The sequence below is a fragment of the Homo sapiens genome, chromosome 18 (genome assembly GCF_000001405.40).
Source record: "Homo sapiens chromosome 18, GRCh38.p14 Primary Assembly".
NCBI classification, from domain to species: Eukaryota; Metazoa; Chordata; class Mammalia; order Primates; family Hominidae; genus Homo; species Homo sapiens.
In genome coordinates, this window is record NC_000018.10 from 2,697,787 (window position 1) to 2,715,180 (window position 17,394).

Consider the following 17,394-nt stretch of genomic DNA (forward strand, 5'->3'; position numbering starts at 1 on the left):
AGTTACCATAGAATTTAATTATTTTTGTTTCCTTTTTATTTTAGATTTCTATGTTTGAAAAAGGGAAGGTACCTAAGATTGTCAACCTAAGGGAAATACAAGACGACATGCAGACGTTGTATGTAAACACAGCAGCTGATAGTTTTGAATTCAAAGCTCATGTTGAAGGAGATGGTGTAGTGGAAGGGATTATCCGTTATCATCCATTCTTATATGATAGAGAAACTTACCCTGATGATCCATGCTTTCCATCAAGTATGTTAATCTGTTATCTTAGTTATAAAATATGAAGTTGTAATTTAGGACAGTGATTTGTTTTTCTAAATGATTATCGGTTGGGTTATTCAGGTTAGATAAATATTAAATTTTTTCTTATGCAAGTCTTAGATTGTTAGGTATTTGTAATTTTTGTAATTCCTGATTTTTGTGTACATTCATTTCTAGATGAATAAATCTTTAATGAACTCTTCTTTTAGTTCTGTTACGAAACCAAACTTTTAGATATGTATGCGTATTAATCCTTTATATGTTCCCTTGTCTTCTCTTTATCCTTGTTGCAGTTTTACACTTTATGCAGTCATATTTACTAACTTTTTCTTTATGCTTTCTGATTTTGTCTTACTGTAGAAAGGCTTTTTACATCTCAAAATTATATAAATCTGTAGCTTTTTTGTTTTTGTTGTCATTTTATGGTCAATGCATCTGTGTTTTTCTTTTTTGTATGTAGAGCAAGGTGGGGTTTTATTTATTTATTTAAATTTTTGAGTGATGGGGTCTTGCCGTGTTGCCCAGGCTGGTCTTAAGATCCTGGCCTGAAACAATCCTCCTGCCTTGGCCTCCCAAAGTACTAGGATTACAGGTGTGAGCCACCACACCTGGCCCCCACCTTTTTTTCCCCCCCCAGTAGAGAGATAGGGATTTAACAATTATTTTCTATGTGGTATTCATATTCAGTTTCTTAGCACCAGTTATTGAATGTTATAATTTACCCAAGAGTTAGAACTTGTATAATACAAAGTTCCCATAAGTACATAGGTCTAGATTCTTTACTATAAAGTACTATTTTATTTTTTTTTAATATGAGTAATGATACTGTCTTGTAGCTTTATCTTGTAATTTGGTATCTTTGGGAAAAAACATTTTCACTATTGTTCCTTTTTGAGAATACTTTTGCTCTTCTAGATAATTTTGGAATCAGCTTTGTACATTCACTTGAAGTAATTCTAGTGAGATTATTGGGATTGCATTGAATTTATAGGTTAACAATATTAAACTTTTTCATTCAGAATACTTCCTTAGTACATTCTTGGTTTTCTAGGGCCTGCAACCAGAGATCCTGATTCGAATCCCATCTTTGCCACTTTCTGTTGGACAAACTACTCCCTGCCTTAGTTTCCTTACCTGGGAAATGGGTAGTTCACACCTCATAGGGGTGTTGTGAAGATCAAATTTAAAAACTGGGGCAACTTCTCAGAATAGTGCTCAACACTATTTATTAAGTGCTCCTGCCCAGTACATATTGTTACTCAGTGGCTCCACTGGCCTTTTTGGTTTTGTTTTTTATTTTTTGGAGACAAAAGTCTTGCGTTGCCACACACGCTGGAGTGCAGTGACACAATGTAGGCTCACTGCAGTCTCTGCCTCCCAGGTTCAAGCAATTCTCATGGATCAGCCTCCTGAGTAACTGGGACTACAGGTGCCCACCACCATGCCAGGCTAATTTTTTGTATTTTATTAGAGACAAGGTTTTGTCATGTTGCCAAGGGTAGTCTCAAACTTCTGAGCTCAGGTAATCCTCCCACCTCAGCTTCCCAAAGTGCTAGGATTACAGGCGTAAGCCCCTGTGCCTGGCCATCTCTGACCTCTTAAATTTGCTGTTTCCAATTTTTGTGTGCTAATAGACAAAAAGATATAATTTTTTTCAAATGCTGCCTTAAAAAGAAGAGCAAGTAAGTTGAGTGATCAATCAGAGGGATTCTCCTCTAAGAGCAAAGTGATTTTGTTTGATTGAAAGCAGCTTTTATATAAGGGACTTCTTGTGAGGGCTTTTAGGGAGAAGGTTTTGTTTTAGGTGGGTAAACTAATTCCAGGGTAGCTGAGGTGTTAATATGTCAGGATCACATTGTTTAATCCTAATTTATCTGGATACACGAGAGTGTGTTGCTAATAAACATAAGATTATAGACAATTGTGCAAATTAATGCTCTTGATGCATAGTAACATGTCTTACAGTTCTGTGTACATTTTTCATGCTTACTTGAATCTGAAAATAATTTCTAAAAAGTAAACTTAATTTTAGCATCATTCACTAATTTGTTCAAACTAGGTAAACTCGCTGCTATTAGATGTCATAGATTTCTCAGATGACTTTCATGTGAACATACTAGTTCTGATAAAATTGTGAAACTGTTTTAGATACGGGATTTAAGCTCCTATATTTGTAGGAAGGAGGGATTTTGTTATAGGGGATAATCTTTTTGGATGTAAGACTCTTTTAGCCTCATGAATAGGTTTTAAAGATGACAGGCCCAGCAGCTAGTACATTGGTTCATATATAAGTAATTATTGACTTCTAAATGACAGACAGCATTCGTAATGTGGAACCACTTTGTAAACCTACCTTTTTGTGGGCAAACAGTATAAAACTACCTTTAGGTTTTATAGAATGCAATTTGAAACATTTATGTGTTTGTTTCATTATTTCTCACATTTTAGCAATAAACATTTTGTTCCATTTGCCCTTTTGATCTAGAATTAAAAGATGAAGATGATGAAGATGATTGTTTCATACTTGAGAAAGCAGCTAGAGGGAAAAGGCCTATTTTTGAATGTTTTTGGAATGGACGATTAATACCATATACATCAGTTGAAGAGTAAGTTTGATTTTTGCTGAAATTATGTTTTTACAACTTAATTCTTTTACTAACTAACATTTTGTTCTGTTCAAGCTTTGACTGGTGTACTCCTCCTAAGAAGAGAGGGCTTGCACCAATTGAATGCTACAATAGGATATCTGGTGCATTATTCACTAATGACAAATTCCAGGTCAGCACAAATAAATTGACGTTTATGGATCTTGAGCTAAAATTGAAAGATAAGAACACCCTTTTTACAAGGATTTTAAATGGACAGGTATGATTTTTAAATATAAAGTTGTGAATATTTGCAAATGTTTTATTTTTAAGTAAAAGAAGACACTAGCAGTGTAGGTTTTTATTGATATTTTGCATCAAAAGACTATGATGTATAAATTTTTTTATGAGCAGTCAAGTGTTCACATTACTAAAAAATTTAAAGCTAATTTTTTAGTAATGACTAAACCTACCTAGTAAAGACTAGGTTTGGATAGAATTTACATATCTTCATTAGTTTTTTTTGTTTTTTTTTTTTTAAGACAGGAGTTTCACTCTGTTTCCCAGGCTGGATTGCAGTGGCTCAATCTCAGCTCACTGCAACCTCTGCCTCCCAGGTTCAAGCTATTCTCCCGCCTCAGCCTCCCAAATAACTGGGACTACAGGTGCGTGCCACCACGCCTGGCTAATTTTTGTATTTTTAGTAGAGATGGGGTTTCACCATGTTGGCCTGGCTGGTCTCGAACTCCTGACCTCAGGTGATCGACTTGCCTTGGTCTCCCAAAATGTTGGGATTACAGGCATGAGCCATCGCACCCAGCCAAGATCTTAATATCTAGCCCTTGACATAGTAGAAGCCACAGAAGCATCTTAATGAGAACATGTATGAACAATTGTATTTGCTTTAAGGGCTATATTTGTATATTAATAACCTAGTTGTGCAATTTTTAGCTAGTCTTGAGGGTAAAAATGGGGTAAAACTGTGAAGTACTTTGAGCTAAAAGGTGATTTGAGATTGATCAGTATTAAAATACATGTATTGATTAATACAACAAGAATGATTTCACTTTGAAATTTGTTACAAAGTTGAGTGAAACTAGTATACTAGTGTACTTGTATTCTGTGAACAGACCTCAGAGACTTTTGATACTACTCTTTCAGTAGTTTAATGTTGAATTGCCAAGAAATAGATGATTTTATTATCAATTTATTGCTGGGCAATAAATACAGTGCATAGTACATAGTATTTGTAGTCAGTCAGTCCTGTAAGATGTTGAAATTAATTTTGCTCTTATAAAGCTTGTGAATCATAGAAGATTAGGACACTTTTAAGAATTATACACCGAGAAAGACCTTATCAAAATGAGTTACTACTCCTTTATAATACACTTAGAATTCATTTATAATATGGTGTTAGTTATCCAACATTTATTGAGCAGTGGGTGTTTTCAAAAGCTATCCAGAATAAGTTAATTCTATTCCTTTGTTACACTGTACTTTTAAAATATATATTTTCTAATTTTGAAACATTCAAGCTGCGCATAATGGTTCACACCTGTAATCTTGGCTACTTGAGAGGCTGAGGCAGGAGGATGGCTTGAGGCCAGGAGTTCAAGACCAGCGTGTGCAATACAGTGAGACACCTTCTGTATTTAAAAAAAAAAAAAAAAGAAGGAAATGTTCAAATACACAGAAAAGTTGAAAGAATATTATAAAGTGAATATCTGCATACTTTTCCCCTAGGTTACCTGTCACCTTGACATGCCTTCTGAATTGTACTTTGACTGTTACTGAGTGTCTGGAATTAATGCATTTGGTAATTTGTTTGGTTGATAGTGAATCCATCCTGAGAGTTTTAGAAGGGTAGTTTAACATTTTGGTTGTCAGACTTTCTGGTTCCTAGTTACTAATTTAATCTCCATGTCAGCTGGCAAACTGACAACAATGATTTGCTGATTTGGGAAAGAGTTGGTACCTAGTTATAGGAGTAAGTGTGGCAGCAATTTCCCAGAAACTGTATACCATATTGGACCTGTGAGTCTTTACCATGTATATATATTTCCTTTTTCATTCATATAACTTTAAAAAAATCAAATTTATTAATAACTAAGATAGTATCCTTCTTGACAGCAAGCATCAAAAACTTAGGCTGAAATTATTTTTAATTTTGCCTTACTTTCCTTTGGAAATGGTATATTATGGTATAAGGTACGTAAGAAGGAATGGAGTTCTGTAACTTTACAGACTGTCCTCTGCGAAAGCATGTAATGGGGAGATTGTCTTACCTCCTCATTGCCCTAGAGGCAGGCATCAAACAAGTGTATAGCACCTTATGCTTGAATACAGATTTCTGTATTCTCTCCCAACAGGGTGAAGAATGGTTGGCAAAAACACATCTTCTTAAGTATTATTAGAAAACACTTCAGTTTTATGAGTTTATTTTTTGGATAGGCTCTATATATAAAAGAGAAAATTAAAAAGAAAAGTACATTTTGCATAGCAGTGTTTCTCAACCTTTTTTCGTTATCACCCTCATAAGGAGTCTTTCTTGGCATCTTTTTCTCAATTGTTTTCCCCAATGAAATTTTACTACTGCAGATTTACCATCTATCTGTTTGTATATTGTATTCACGTTTATAAAGTACTTGATACACAATGAGATTTTTATCGTCCCATTGAGAATGTGGTTTACAGTTAGAAGGCCTCCACTCATCCCTTTTGTGGAGCTAGCTAGTTCTCCTCCCAGGCAGTAAGGGTTCATCAGTTTTTAGTGTATCCTAGGAATTAAAGGCGGAAAGGAAGGTTTTATTGTTGATATTGACCAGGGATACCTTGGTTCTAAGAATAATATCAAATTTTTCTTCTTTGGTAATGCATTTGTTTGAAATATCCTAAATGTGTACAGAGGAAGGATCCAGCAGAATATTTAATTTTTTATTAGGTTTTCTGAATTGGAGTATATGAAAGGAAAAAAATAAAATGAATGACAAATGTTTATGGTTATATTTGTTTGCTAGTAGCTATATTTCATAAAACATTTTAAAATTCTACAGGAACAGCGAATGAAAATTGACAGAGAATTTGCTTTGTGGCTGAAGGACTGTCATGAGAAGTATGATAAACAAATAAAATTTACACTTTTTAAGGGAGTAATTACACGTCCTGATCTTCCTTCTAAAAAGCAAGGTCCCTGGGCAACATATGCAGCAATAGAATGGGATGGAAAGATATACAAAGCAGGACAGCTGGTAGGTTTAACTTATTGTCACTTTTTTCTTATAATTTTTAATTTAATTTAAAACACATATGCAGAATCACATGTATAGAAAATAAGCTATTTTTAAAAATTTCTTTTTTTCCCATTCTCACATTTCATGAAGAACATTTATTCAGACTCTTCACAGGCCTGTTTGACATCAGTGTCTTCCATCATCTCTAAGGAAATTTAACTTATTTTTAGATTCAATTTTTAGTAGAAGTTGAGACTAAATTAGATGTATTAAAATTTAACAACAGTAACAACAAATAATGCAAATATTGGCTCCTCAGGAGCTAGGTAAGAATGAAAAGGACAAACTGATTTTAAATTCCATAATTTATTATAGCATTAAAAAAACTATTGCCAGAGGCTCAATTAACAAGGTTTTTATGGTTTCCTAAACTAAACTTTACTCACATGGAGATCTCAGTGTTTTTTGTTTGTTTGTTTGTTTTTAATGTAATGCGTTAAGTAATGATTTTTAAGTATTTTTTTGTTGAGCATCTGCTGACATAGTAAGTTACTGCACCTTTTGACTGTGTGGTGGAGAATTCAGAGATATAGGAGATGTGCTTTGCTCTTGGTGATATTATATCCTAGCAATGGGGATAGTGTAAGCATAAATAATAGGTAAGAAGTGGATCAATGCAATGGAAAGAAAGGATTAATAGTGTTTTGGCAGGTTAGAAGGAGAGAAGAGGAGAGGATTTTTTTTTTTTTTTTTTACTTTGGTTGGTCGTGTGGGCTGGAAGAACAGAGCAGATCGTTAAATACTTTGGAAAAGAAGTAACATTTGTGTGGACCTTGAAAGGGGTAGAGGCTCAGGTTTACACAGATAATTACAAGGTAGAAGGCTCTCTGTTCTCTCCATAAATGAGAGATACCATCATATATTTAAAGCTATAGAATTGGATGAGATCATCTATACTTGGTGAGTATAGCTAAAGAGGTAAAAGGATTGAGCCTGGAGCTTTCCCAACATTTAGTGGTTAGAATGAAAAGGAGGAGCTGGCAGAGGAGACTGACAGGGATAAGCTGGTGAGACAGAAGGAAACTAGCAGAATGTGACATCCCTAGAGCCAAGTGAAGAGTTACAAGAAGAAAGGAGTGATCAGTTTAGTCAAATGCTTAGTGGTAATGGAGTAAAGTGCTTTCTAGAAGGTAATCTGAGCATAGAGATGTGCGTAGGTTAAGTGCAGAAAAACAGCAAGTAGTAAGAGTTGGGTTGTCCTGCTGCCTATTGTATGTGTGAAGAGAAATAGTTTAGAAATGGGGCAGGCAAGGTAGGTTGGGATAAACTCTTATAGTCCTTGTTGGGAATTTCTGAATTGGAGTAGTGGAAATTTCCCTTAGATTTTTTAAACCAAGTAAGGAGAAGAAATATGATAGGCAAGTTTTGAGCTGATGTATTTGAAAAATAATATTAACTTGTCAAAGTTTATAAATTGCTGTTCATCATCTGAGAGCAGAATTTTATGGGGAAAAAAGGTTTCAGATATGTTGGCATTCATTATGACTGAATTTGAAGGAATTCTGGACTTGTAAGACACATGCTTAATTCTAACACATTTGTATAAAGAAGCTGCCATATTTTTACAACTATTTGTTAAGTACAGAACTTCAAAAATACAATTTTATTTTAATATTAGAATGCTGTTTTCATTAGTTTTTCTAATGATAGTTACCAAGGTTTTTTTCTTTGTAATAAAGAAGTTCTGTAAAATTATTATTAAGCCTTTTTCTCTTCGTAAATCTTAATACTGAAGCTTTTTTTTTTTTTAAAAACTAAATATTAGGTCAAGACAATCAAGACACTTCCCCTCTTTTATGGAAGCATAGTAAGATTTTTTCTTTATGGCGATCATGATGGAGAAGTATATGCTACAGGAGGAGAGGTTCAAATTGCAATGGTAAGACAGCAAGTGATAAAACATACTGAAAGTTTCTTGATAACACTTTTGCATAATTGTTAAGATACAGTATATTTCGCTAGTGACTAGTTTTCCATTGGATAAAGTGGTTGTAGTTTTTGTGTGGATTTTTATGTGTCATAAGTTGATGTTTTTAATAATCTATACAATTTAACATCATATGCTCAGTTTTTGTAAACATATATACATTATAACTAGTTACCAAATTAATTTTATAAAGTCATATTTCCTCTAGGGCCCACTAACTAGTAAACATTGGAGCCAGAATTCTATCTCAGCAATGAGTAACTACAAAACTGGAGTGGGTTTTTTCCCTATACCATGCTTTCTTGTTAATGTTTGATATGTTAGGACTACAGAGGTTATATAAAAAATATAAACAAACATTGTGGTGTAACGTAAGAATAGCTACTGTTATTTATGTACTTAATTAGGATAAAATATATTTCTTTGGAAGAAACAAATGGGTGTTTGTTTTTATTACAGCTAGATTTAAATAGTTTTCTTTGAAATGTTGGTAAATGTATTTATTCAGGAACCTCAGGCACTATATGATGAAGTAAGAACTGTGCCAATTGCAAAGCTGGATAGGACAGTTGCTGAGAAAGCTGTTAAAAAATATGTAGAAGATGAAATGGCAAGGTAAGTCACACTTCAAGATGCATGACAAAAATAAGAAAAATTGGAAAGAATTGTGCTGTAAGTATTCTGAGTATGTCATTTACTCTGCTGTTAGGGCATTTGTAGTCTTAGATATTGTACCTATTGAGATGAACTTCTTGTTGAAAAAAATTAAGAGGTCTAGTTATACAAACAGAATTCTGCATTTGTTTTGTAGACAAAGAAGGAAATCTTATATATCTAAAGTGTCACTTTTATAGGCACTATGATTAACATGTTTTAAAAAAACTCAGTTTGGCCTACAACTAGGATATTACAATACCTGCTGAGAGGTAAAGATGAGTGTATTAGTTCGTTTTCACACTGCTATAAAGATACTACCTGAGACTGGGTAATTTATAAAGCAAGGAGGTTTAATTGACTCAGTCGTGCATGGCTGGGGAGGCCTCAGGAAACTTATAATCATGGCATAAGGCGAAGGGGAAGCAAGCCATGTCTTACATGGGCGGCAGAAGAGAGAGAGAGGGAAGGGGGAACTGTCAAACACTTTAAAAATCATCAGCTCTCGTGAGAACTCACTATCAAGAGAACAGCATGGGGGAAACCATTCCTGTGATCCAATCACCGCCCACCAGGTCCCTCCCTTGACACCTGGGGATTAGAATTCGAGATGAGATTCGGATGGGGACACAGAGCCAAACCTTATCAGTGAGTTATAAAGAAGAAGAAGGAAGTAGAAAGTGGCTTTTCTTCTTGTATAGCTAATGATGCAATCATTTTGATTCTTACTGAATTTTGATTCTTAGGGGTTATCCTGTCTTCTAAAGGTAATTTGTACTATAAACAAGTAGAAAAAAAAAATCAACAAAAATTTGACAGTTTCTGGCTTTTAATTCCAAAAGGTTTTTTTTTTTCTTCTTCTTTTTTTTCAGTAGCCACAGGAATGGTTAGGGAGGAAAAAAATTTTTAGATGATTAATCGTAAAGAATTCCAGATTTAACCTTTTAAAATATATCAGCAATAAATATTTAAGTTTCTAATAACTCGTATCTTTTTAATTAAGATCATAATTAACAAAGTTTGTGGAACATTAATATGCTGGTTTCATAACAGGCTCCCTGATAGATTGTCAGTAACTTGGCCTGAAGGAGATGAATTATTGCCTAATGAGGTTAGGCCTGCTGGAACCCCTATTGGTATGTTTGTTTATTTTTCTAATACCAAAAAGTGTGCTTTTCTTTTGTCTTACATTTCCAATATGTAAAAGGTCACGAGATATTAAAATGCAATGGGAAGATTTGGCAGATTCAGCAAATTTTTGGGTGTAATTAAGATACTTTTAATTTTTGACTCATAGGTGCGTTAAGAATTGAAATACTGAATAAAAAAGGGGAAGCAATGCAAAAGCTTCCAGGAACAAGCCATGGAGGGTCAAAGAAACTCCTGGTTGAGCTCAAAGTTATTTTACATTGTAAGTATACAAACTAATTTAGATCTTTAATATTGTTTTTAAAATATAATATCAAATTAAATATCTTCATGTAATTATTGATGACCTAGCAATCTGATAGGCATAGCAAATTTTATTGAAGTTAGGAATTTCAGGAATGTTATGAATAGCTCATTTTCTTGGTGGATATTTTTCTAAGGTTTTTAAAAAATACTTCATCTTGAATTTTTTCATGTGGGTAACTGGGCTAAAGTAAAGGCATGATACATATATGTAGAAGAATTTGCAGTAGGAATTTCTATAAGCATATATGTATTATTACAGTTCTAATAATTACAGTAATAATTACAGTATTGATTACAGTATTATTAGTCATCCAAAACAGGTTTCACTGAGCTAAAATTAAAGTGTCTTCAGGACTGCATTTCTTCCTGGAGGTTCTGGGTGAGCCTTGCCTTTTCTGCCTTTTAGAAGTTACTCTCAGCTGGGCTTGGTGGCACGAGCCTATATAGTCCCAGCTACTCGGAAGGCTGAGGCAGGAAAATTGCTTGAGCCCAGGAGTTCGAGGCTACAGTGAGCTATGATCACGCCACTGCACTCCAGCCTGGGTGGTAAAGTAAGACCCTGTCTCTAAAAAATAAATAAATCACACAGAAGCACCACTCTCATTCCTTCATCTTCAAAGCCAGCAGTGCAGCACCTTTCATGACCTTCCTGCTTTTTTTTTTTTTGAGACAGAGCTTCGCTCTTGTTGCCCAGGCTGGAATACATAATGGCACAATTTAGGCTCACTGCAACCTCCGCTTCCCCTGTTCAAGCAATTCTCCTGTCTCAGCCTCCTGAGTAGCCGGGATTACAGGCACATGCCACCACTCCCAGCTAATTTTTGTATTTTTAGTAGAGATGGGGTTTGATGGGGTTTCATCATATTGGTCAGGCTGGTCCCTGCTTCTATTTTCAATAACTTCATATATATATATATATATATATATATATATATATATATATAACATATTAACATGAAATTTATGAAGTGGCATTAAGTACATTCATATTGTTGTGCAACCATTACCACTATCCATGTAAAGCATTTTTTCATCATTTCAAACTGAAACTCTATAGTAATAACTCTTCATCACTCCTTTCTCCCTGCCCTGGTAACTACTTTTTAACTTTCTGTCTCTGAATTTGACTATTTTAGGTACCTCATAAAAATGGAATTATATTTGTCCTTTGTGTCTGGCCTGTTTCGCTTAGCATAGTGTGTCAGAATTCCCATTCCTTCTTAAGGTTGAATAATATTCCCTTGTGTGTGTATATATGTGTATATGTGTATATATATATATATATACACACACACATGTATACACATACACCATATTTTGTTTATCCATTTGTTTGATGGATACTCAGGTTACTTTCACCTGTTGTCTATCGTGAAGAATGCTCCTGTGAACATCAGTGTACAAATAGTTCTTTGAGTCTCCGCTTTGGTTCCTTTTAGATACATTCCCAAAAGTGGACTTGCTGGGTCATATTATTATTTAATTTATTGAGAAACTGCCGTACTGTTTTCCACAGTGGTTGCCTCATTGTACATTCCAGTTTCTCCATGTCACCCCCACTTGTTATTTCCTGTGGGTTTTTTTGTGGGGGACGGATAATAGCCATCCTAACAGATATGAAGTGGTATCTTACTGTGGTTTTTTCCCCCCTTTTTCCTACTAAAGATAATTGTGGTTTTGATTTGCATTTCCCCAATATTCAGTGATTTTGGCCATCTTTTTATGGGCTAATTGCCATCTGTATATCTTCTTTGGACAAAGGTCTATTCAGGTCCTTTGGCCATTTTTAAATTTTGTTGTTGAGTTGTAAGAGTTCTTTATAATCCTGGATATTAATCCCTTATCAGATAAATGATTTACAGATATTTTCTTCCACTCTGTGGGTTGCTTTTTCACTTTGTCAATGGTGACTGTGATGCACAAAACTTTTTAATTTTGACAAACAATTAGTTTCTTTTTTCTTTTGTTGGCTGTGCTTTTGGTGTCTTATCCAAGAGATTGTTACTAAATTCAGTGTTACGAAGCTTTTCCTGAATGTTTTTTCCTTACAAATTTTATAGCTTTAGCTCTGTTGTTATTACTTTGATCCATCTGACCTTGACTTTTGCATATGGTTAACTTCTTTTTATATGGAAAACTTCTTTTGCCTGTAGATATCCAGTTTTTCCAGCACCATTTGTCAAAGACTATACTTTCTCTATTGAATTGTTTTGGCCCACTTGTTGAAAGTCAGTTGACCACATATGTGAGAATTTATTTCTGGGCTCCCTGTTCCCTAGGTCTATATGTCTGTTCATATGCCCATGCTGCACTGTTTTTGTTTACTGTAGCTTTGTAAGTTTTAAAATGAGGAGGTGTGAGTCCTCCAACTTTATTCTTGTTTTTTAAGATTGTTTTGGCTATTTGGGTCCATGGAGATTCCCTATGAATGTAGGATGCGTTTTTCTATTTCTGCAGAAAACACCATTGCGATCCTGGTAGGGATTACACTGAATATGCAGATCACTTTGAGTATTATTTTTACCTTAGCAATTGTAAGTCATTCAATCCGTGAACATGATTTTGTATCTGCAACTTTGCTGAGTTTATTAGCTATACCAGGGTTTTTTTTATGGATTATTTAGGTTTTTTCATATATGAACATGTCATTTATGAACGGAAATAACTTATTCTTTTCCAAAGTGGATGCCTTTTATTTCTTTTTCTTACCTAATTGGTCTGGCTAGGACTTAAAATACTATGTTGAATAGAAGTAACCAAAATGAGAATCTTGTCCTGTTCCTGATGTTAGAGGAAAAGCTTTTAAGTCTTTAACAGTTGAGTACATGCGATGTTAACTGCGGGTCTTATATAAGGCCTTTATCATGTTGAAGAAGTTTCTTTCTATTCCTTGTGTAGTGTTTTTATCATGAAAGAGTATTGTTTTCCCAAATGTTTTCTCTGCATCAGTCCAGATAATTATGTAGGTTTATTCTCTCAAAGTGATGTATTGCGTTGATTGGTTGTTTTTTGTTTTTTGGGGTTTTTTTTGAGACGGGTTCTCACTCTGTCACCCAGGCTGGAATGATGCGGCACAGTCGTGGCTTACTGCAGCCTCAAACTCCTGGGCTCAAGTGGTCCTCCCACGTCAGCCTCCTGAGTAGCTAGGACTACAGACATGCTCATTGCACCCAGCTAATTTTTTTTTTTCTTTTTATCAATGGATGAGAGTTTTTTAAAAATATTGACGAGGTTGGCCTCGAACGCGTAGCCTCACCTCCTTATGCACCAGGACAACTGCCCTGAGCCACCATGGCTCCCTTTTTTTTTTTTTGTGGTGGAGACAGGGTCTCCTATGCTGCCCAGGCTAGTCTCAAACTCATGGCCTCAAATGACCTCTTGCCTCAGTCTCCCAAAGTGTTAGGATTACAGGCATGAGCCACTGCACGTAGCCTTGTTTGTTTTTTATTTGTTGAGCCATGCTTGCATTCCAAGAGTAAATCTCACTTGGTTGTTATGTATAGTTTGGATGTTTGTCTTTTTTTTTTTTTTTTTTTGAGACGGAGTCTCGCTCTGTCGCCCAGGCTGGAGTGCAGTGGCGGGATCTCGGCTCACTGCAAGCTCCGCCTCCCGGGTTCACGCCATTCTCCTGCCTCAGCCTCCCAAGTAGCTGGGACTACAGGCGCCCGCCACTACGCCCGGCTAATTTTTTGTATTTTTAGTAGAGACGGGGTTTCACCGTTTTAGCCGGGATGGTCTCGATCTCCTGACCTCGTGATCCGCCCGCCTCGGCCTCCCAAAGTGCTGGGATTACAGGCGTGAGCCACCGCGCCCGGCCTGGATGTTTGTCTTGATCCCCGGTGTTGGAGGTGGGACCTAATGGGAGGTTTTGGAGTCATAGGTGCACATCTCTCATGAAGGGCTTATTGTGTGAGTTCTTGCTCTATTATTTCCCATGAGAGCTGGTTGTTAAAAAGAACCTGGCACCTCCCTCACCCCTCTTTTGCCATATGATCTCTGCATACACTGGCTCCCCTTCACCTTCCACCATGAGTGGAAGCAGCCTGAGGCTTTCACCAGATGCCCAGTCTTCCAGCCAGCAGAACTGTGAACCAAATAAACATCCTTTTCTTATAAATTATTCAGCCTCAGGTATTCCTTTACAACAACACTATATAGACTAAGGTGAGTTCTTTTAAAATTGTGCTGAATTTGGCTTGCTAGCATATTGTTGAGAATTTTTGCATCAATATTCATAAGGGATTTTGGTCTGTAGTTTTCTTTTTCCTTTTTTTTTTTTTTGATGTCTGTGTCTGACTTTGGTATCAGATAATGTTGACCTCAAAGAATGAATGAGTTAGGAAGTGTTCTCTCCTCTTTAAGTTTTTGGAAGAGTTTGAAAAGGATTGGTGTTTCCATTTATTTCTTAATCCTCTGTAACCAATCTATCACCAAGTATCACACTAAAGTACAGTTGACCGTTGAAAAACATGGGTTTGAACTGTGCAGGTCCACTTATATGTGGCCATTTGTGAATCAAATGCAGATTGAAAATACGTTTTTGCGGGATTTGAAACCCACATAAACAGAGGCCAACTTTTCATATACACAGGTTCTGCAGGGCCAACCACAGGAGTTGTATGTGCAGATTTTGGTATACATGGGGATCCTGGAACCAATCTCCTGCATAAACCAAGGGACAACTGTATATCTTCGTTCTGCCCATTCAAGTCCGAGTCATCATGGTCTCTCATTCTAACCACGTAGTAGCTGCCTCAATGAAAAGTCCTCTTTCACTCTTGCACTGCTCCAGCTCATTTTCCTCATTTTACGCCAAAGTGATTTTTTTGAATTGCAAAACTGTGTATATCACTCACCTGTTTTATATTATTTCATCTTTAGTGGCCTAGGAAACTAGTCATAGCTCTGCAATACTCCACGCATGATCTGGCCCTTCCTCTCTCTCCAACTTGATCTCATCCTCACTTACCATACCTCTAACCACAACTGTTTTCTTTTGGTTCTTATCGAACCCCAGTTTTCCCAACTCTAGACCAAATTTTGTTCCTTAAATGTGTCTTTCCCCTCTAGGACAGGGGTGACAAACTATTTGGAAAGCGTCAGGTAGTAAATACTTAGGCTTTGAGAGCTGTATGAGCTGTTTCTTATGATTACGTAAGTCTGTTGTTGTAGATGAATGCAGCCATTGGCAGTCCAGTAGTTTGCCAGTCCCCTTGTTCTACAAGATTAAAAACTCCAGGAAAGCAATGATGTTTTCTTTACCCTTTTTCTAGTACTTTGTATATAGGAGGTAATTAATTAATATTTGTTGAATAAATACATCAAAAATCAGAAAGTTGCTTGGGTCTTTTTAGAGAACTTCTCGTGGTGATTTGCTGTCTGATTTATAATTGCACCCTTTTTTTAAAGCAAATATTGAGAAGATGTTTCTAGAACATGTTTCTTTCTCTATTGGTACAAGTTGAGAAATCCAGCAGTAAAAGGCAAATATAGGCATGCTTTCTTTAAGATACATCATAAACTGGTCTGGCCAACATGGTGAAACCCCGTCTCTACTAAGAAGTAAAAAAATTAGCCAGGTGTGGTGATGTGCGCCTGTAATTTCAGCTACTCGGGAGGCTGAGGCAGGAGAATCACTTGAACCTGGGAGGCAGAGGCTGCAATGAGCTGAGATTGCACCACTGCACTCCAGCCTGGCAACAGAGTGACACTCCATCTCAAAATATATATATGTATTTTAAATTTTCATATCAATTTTATCATTGACATAAAGATTATTTAAGAGTAAGCTGTTTGATCCAAGTATTTTATAGTTTTGAGAGTTTCTCTTGGAATTGATTTCTAGTTTTATTCCACTATGGTCCAAGAAGTTACTTGATATGATTCTGATTTTTCAAAATTTGTTGAGATTTGTTTTGTGGCCTAATGTATGGCCTTTCTTCAAGAATGTTCCATTTGCTGATGAGAAGAATGTATATTCCGCAGAATAATGTATACTCTGCATATTGTTGGGTAGAATGTTGTGTAAATGTTTGCTTAGGTCCATTTGGTCTAAAGGCCAGTTTAAATCCAATGTTCCTTTGTTGCAACGTTTTCTATCTCCATGATCCATCTAGTGCTATCAGTAGGGTGTTGAATCCATTATTATTGTATTGCTTTCTATGTCTTCTTAGGCCTAGTAATACTTGTTTTATGAATCTAGGCACTGGTATTTGGTACATATATATTTAGAATTGTTATATCTTCATGTTGAATTGATTCCTTTAACATTATATAATTTTTTTAACTGTTGTTGATTTATAGTCTATTTTATTTGATATCAGCTACTCTTGCTCACTTTTGGTTTCTGTTTGCATGGAATAGCTGTTTCCACACCTTTACCTTCAGTCTATAATTGTCTTTATGAGTAATATGAGTTTATTGTGAGTAGCATTTAGTTGGTTCATTTAAAAAATCCATTACTGTCAGTCTATATCTTTTAGGTAGAACATTAATTGATTTACATTCAAGGTTAGTATTTATATGTGAAGTTTTGCTCTTGTCATAATGTTGTTATCTAGTTGCTTTGTAGATCCTTTCTTTTTTTCCCTCCTTTCTGTCTTTGTGGTTTGGTGGGATTCTGTTGTGCTGCTATTTGATTTTTTTCTCTTCCTACCTTGTATAATTGTTTTATAATACCTGTGAATTTTATACTCTCATGTGTTTTTATGATGGCTAGTATTGACCATTTGTTTCCATGTTTAGAACTCCTTTGACTGTTCCTTGTAGATCTGGTTTAGGGGTAGTGAATTTCTTCAGGATTTGCTTGTCTGGAAAAGACTATTTTGCCTCCATTTATGAAGCTTGTTCTAGCAGGACACAAGATTTGTGGTTGACAGTCCCCCCTGCCCCCTACCCCCAGCACTTTGAAAACAGAATCCTACAGAGGGAGCAGGACTGTAAAAAAAGAAAAAACAAAATGCCAGTCTCTACTAGCTTATAAGGTACCTGCTGTGAAATCTGCTGTTAGTCTAATGGATTTTCCTTTACTGGTGACTGGATGCTTTTTCTCTTGCTGATTTTAGGATATTTTCCTTCACATTGACTTTAGACAGTCTAATTTCTATATATTGTAGTGAGGCCTTTCTTGCAGTGTTTTTGCCTGGCATTCTTTGAGCCTCTTATTCTTTGGATGTGTAGATCTCTTGCTAGACAAGGGAAGTTTTCCTCAATTATT

The 17,394-nt window shown here is 35.7% G+C and overlaps 1 protein-coding gene across 10 annotated transcripts in view; it reads left to right on the top strand.

Moving 5' to 3' along the window:
- Nucleotides 1-17,394, top strand: part of SMCHD1 (structural maintenance of chromosomes flexible hinge domain containing 1) — a 149,292-nt gene that overhangs the window by 42,061 nt on the left and 89,837 nt on the right. For all 10 annotated transcript variants that reach the window (XR_001753172.2, XR_935055.3, XR_007066135.1 and 7 more), the window contains 8 exons: nucleotides 45-255; nucleotides 2,753-2,873; nucleotides 2,949-3,132; nucleotides 5,906-6,100; nucleotides 7,908-8,021; nucleotides 8,578-8,684; nucleotides 9,777-9,859; nucleotides 10,021-10,134. Coding sequence is in view for 7 of the 10 variants with exons in the window: in XM_011525642.2 (XP_011523944.1) it covers nucleotides 45-255; nucleotides 2,753-2,873; nucleotides 2,949-3,132; nucleotides 5,906-6,100; nucleotides 7,908-8,021; nucleotides 8,578-8,684; nucleotides 9,777-9,859; nucleotides 10,021-10,134 (1,129 nt within the window). In the remaining 3 variants the exon portion in view is untranslated. The remainder of the gene's footprint in view (nucleotides 1-44; nucleotides 256-2,752; nucleotides 2,874-2,948; nucleotides 3,133-5,905; nucleotides 6,101-7,907; nucleotides 8,022-8,577; nucleotides 8,685-9,776; nucleotides 9,860-10,020; nucleotides 10,135-17,394) is intronic.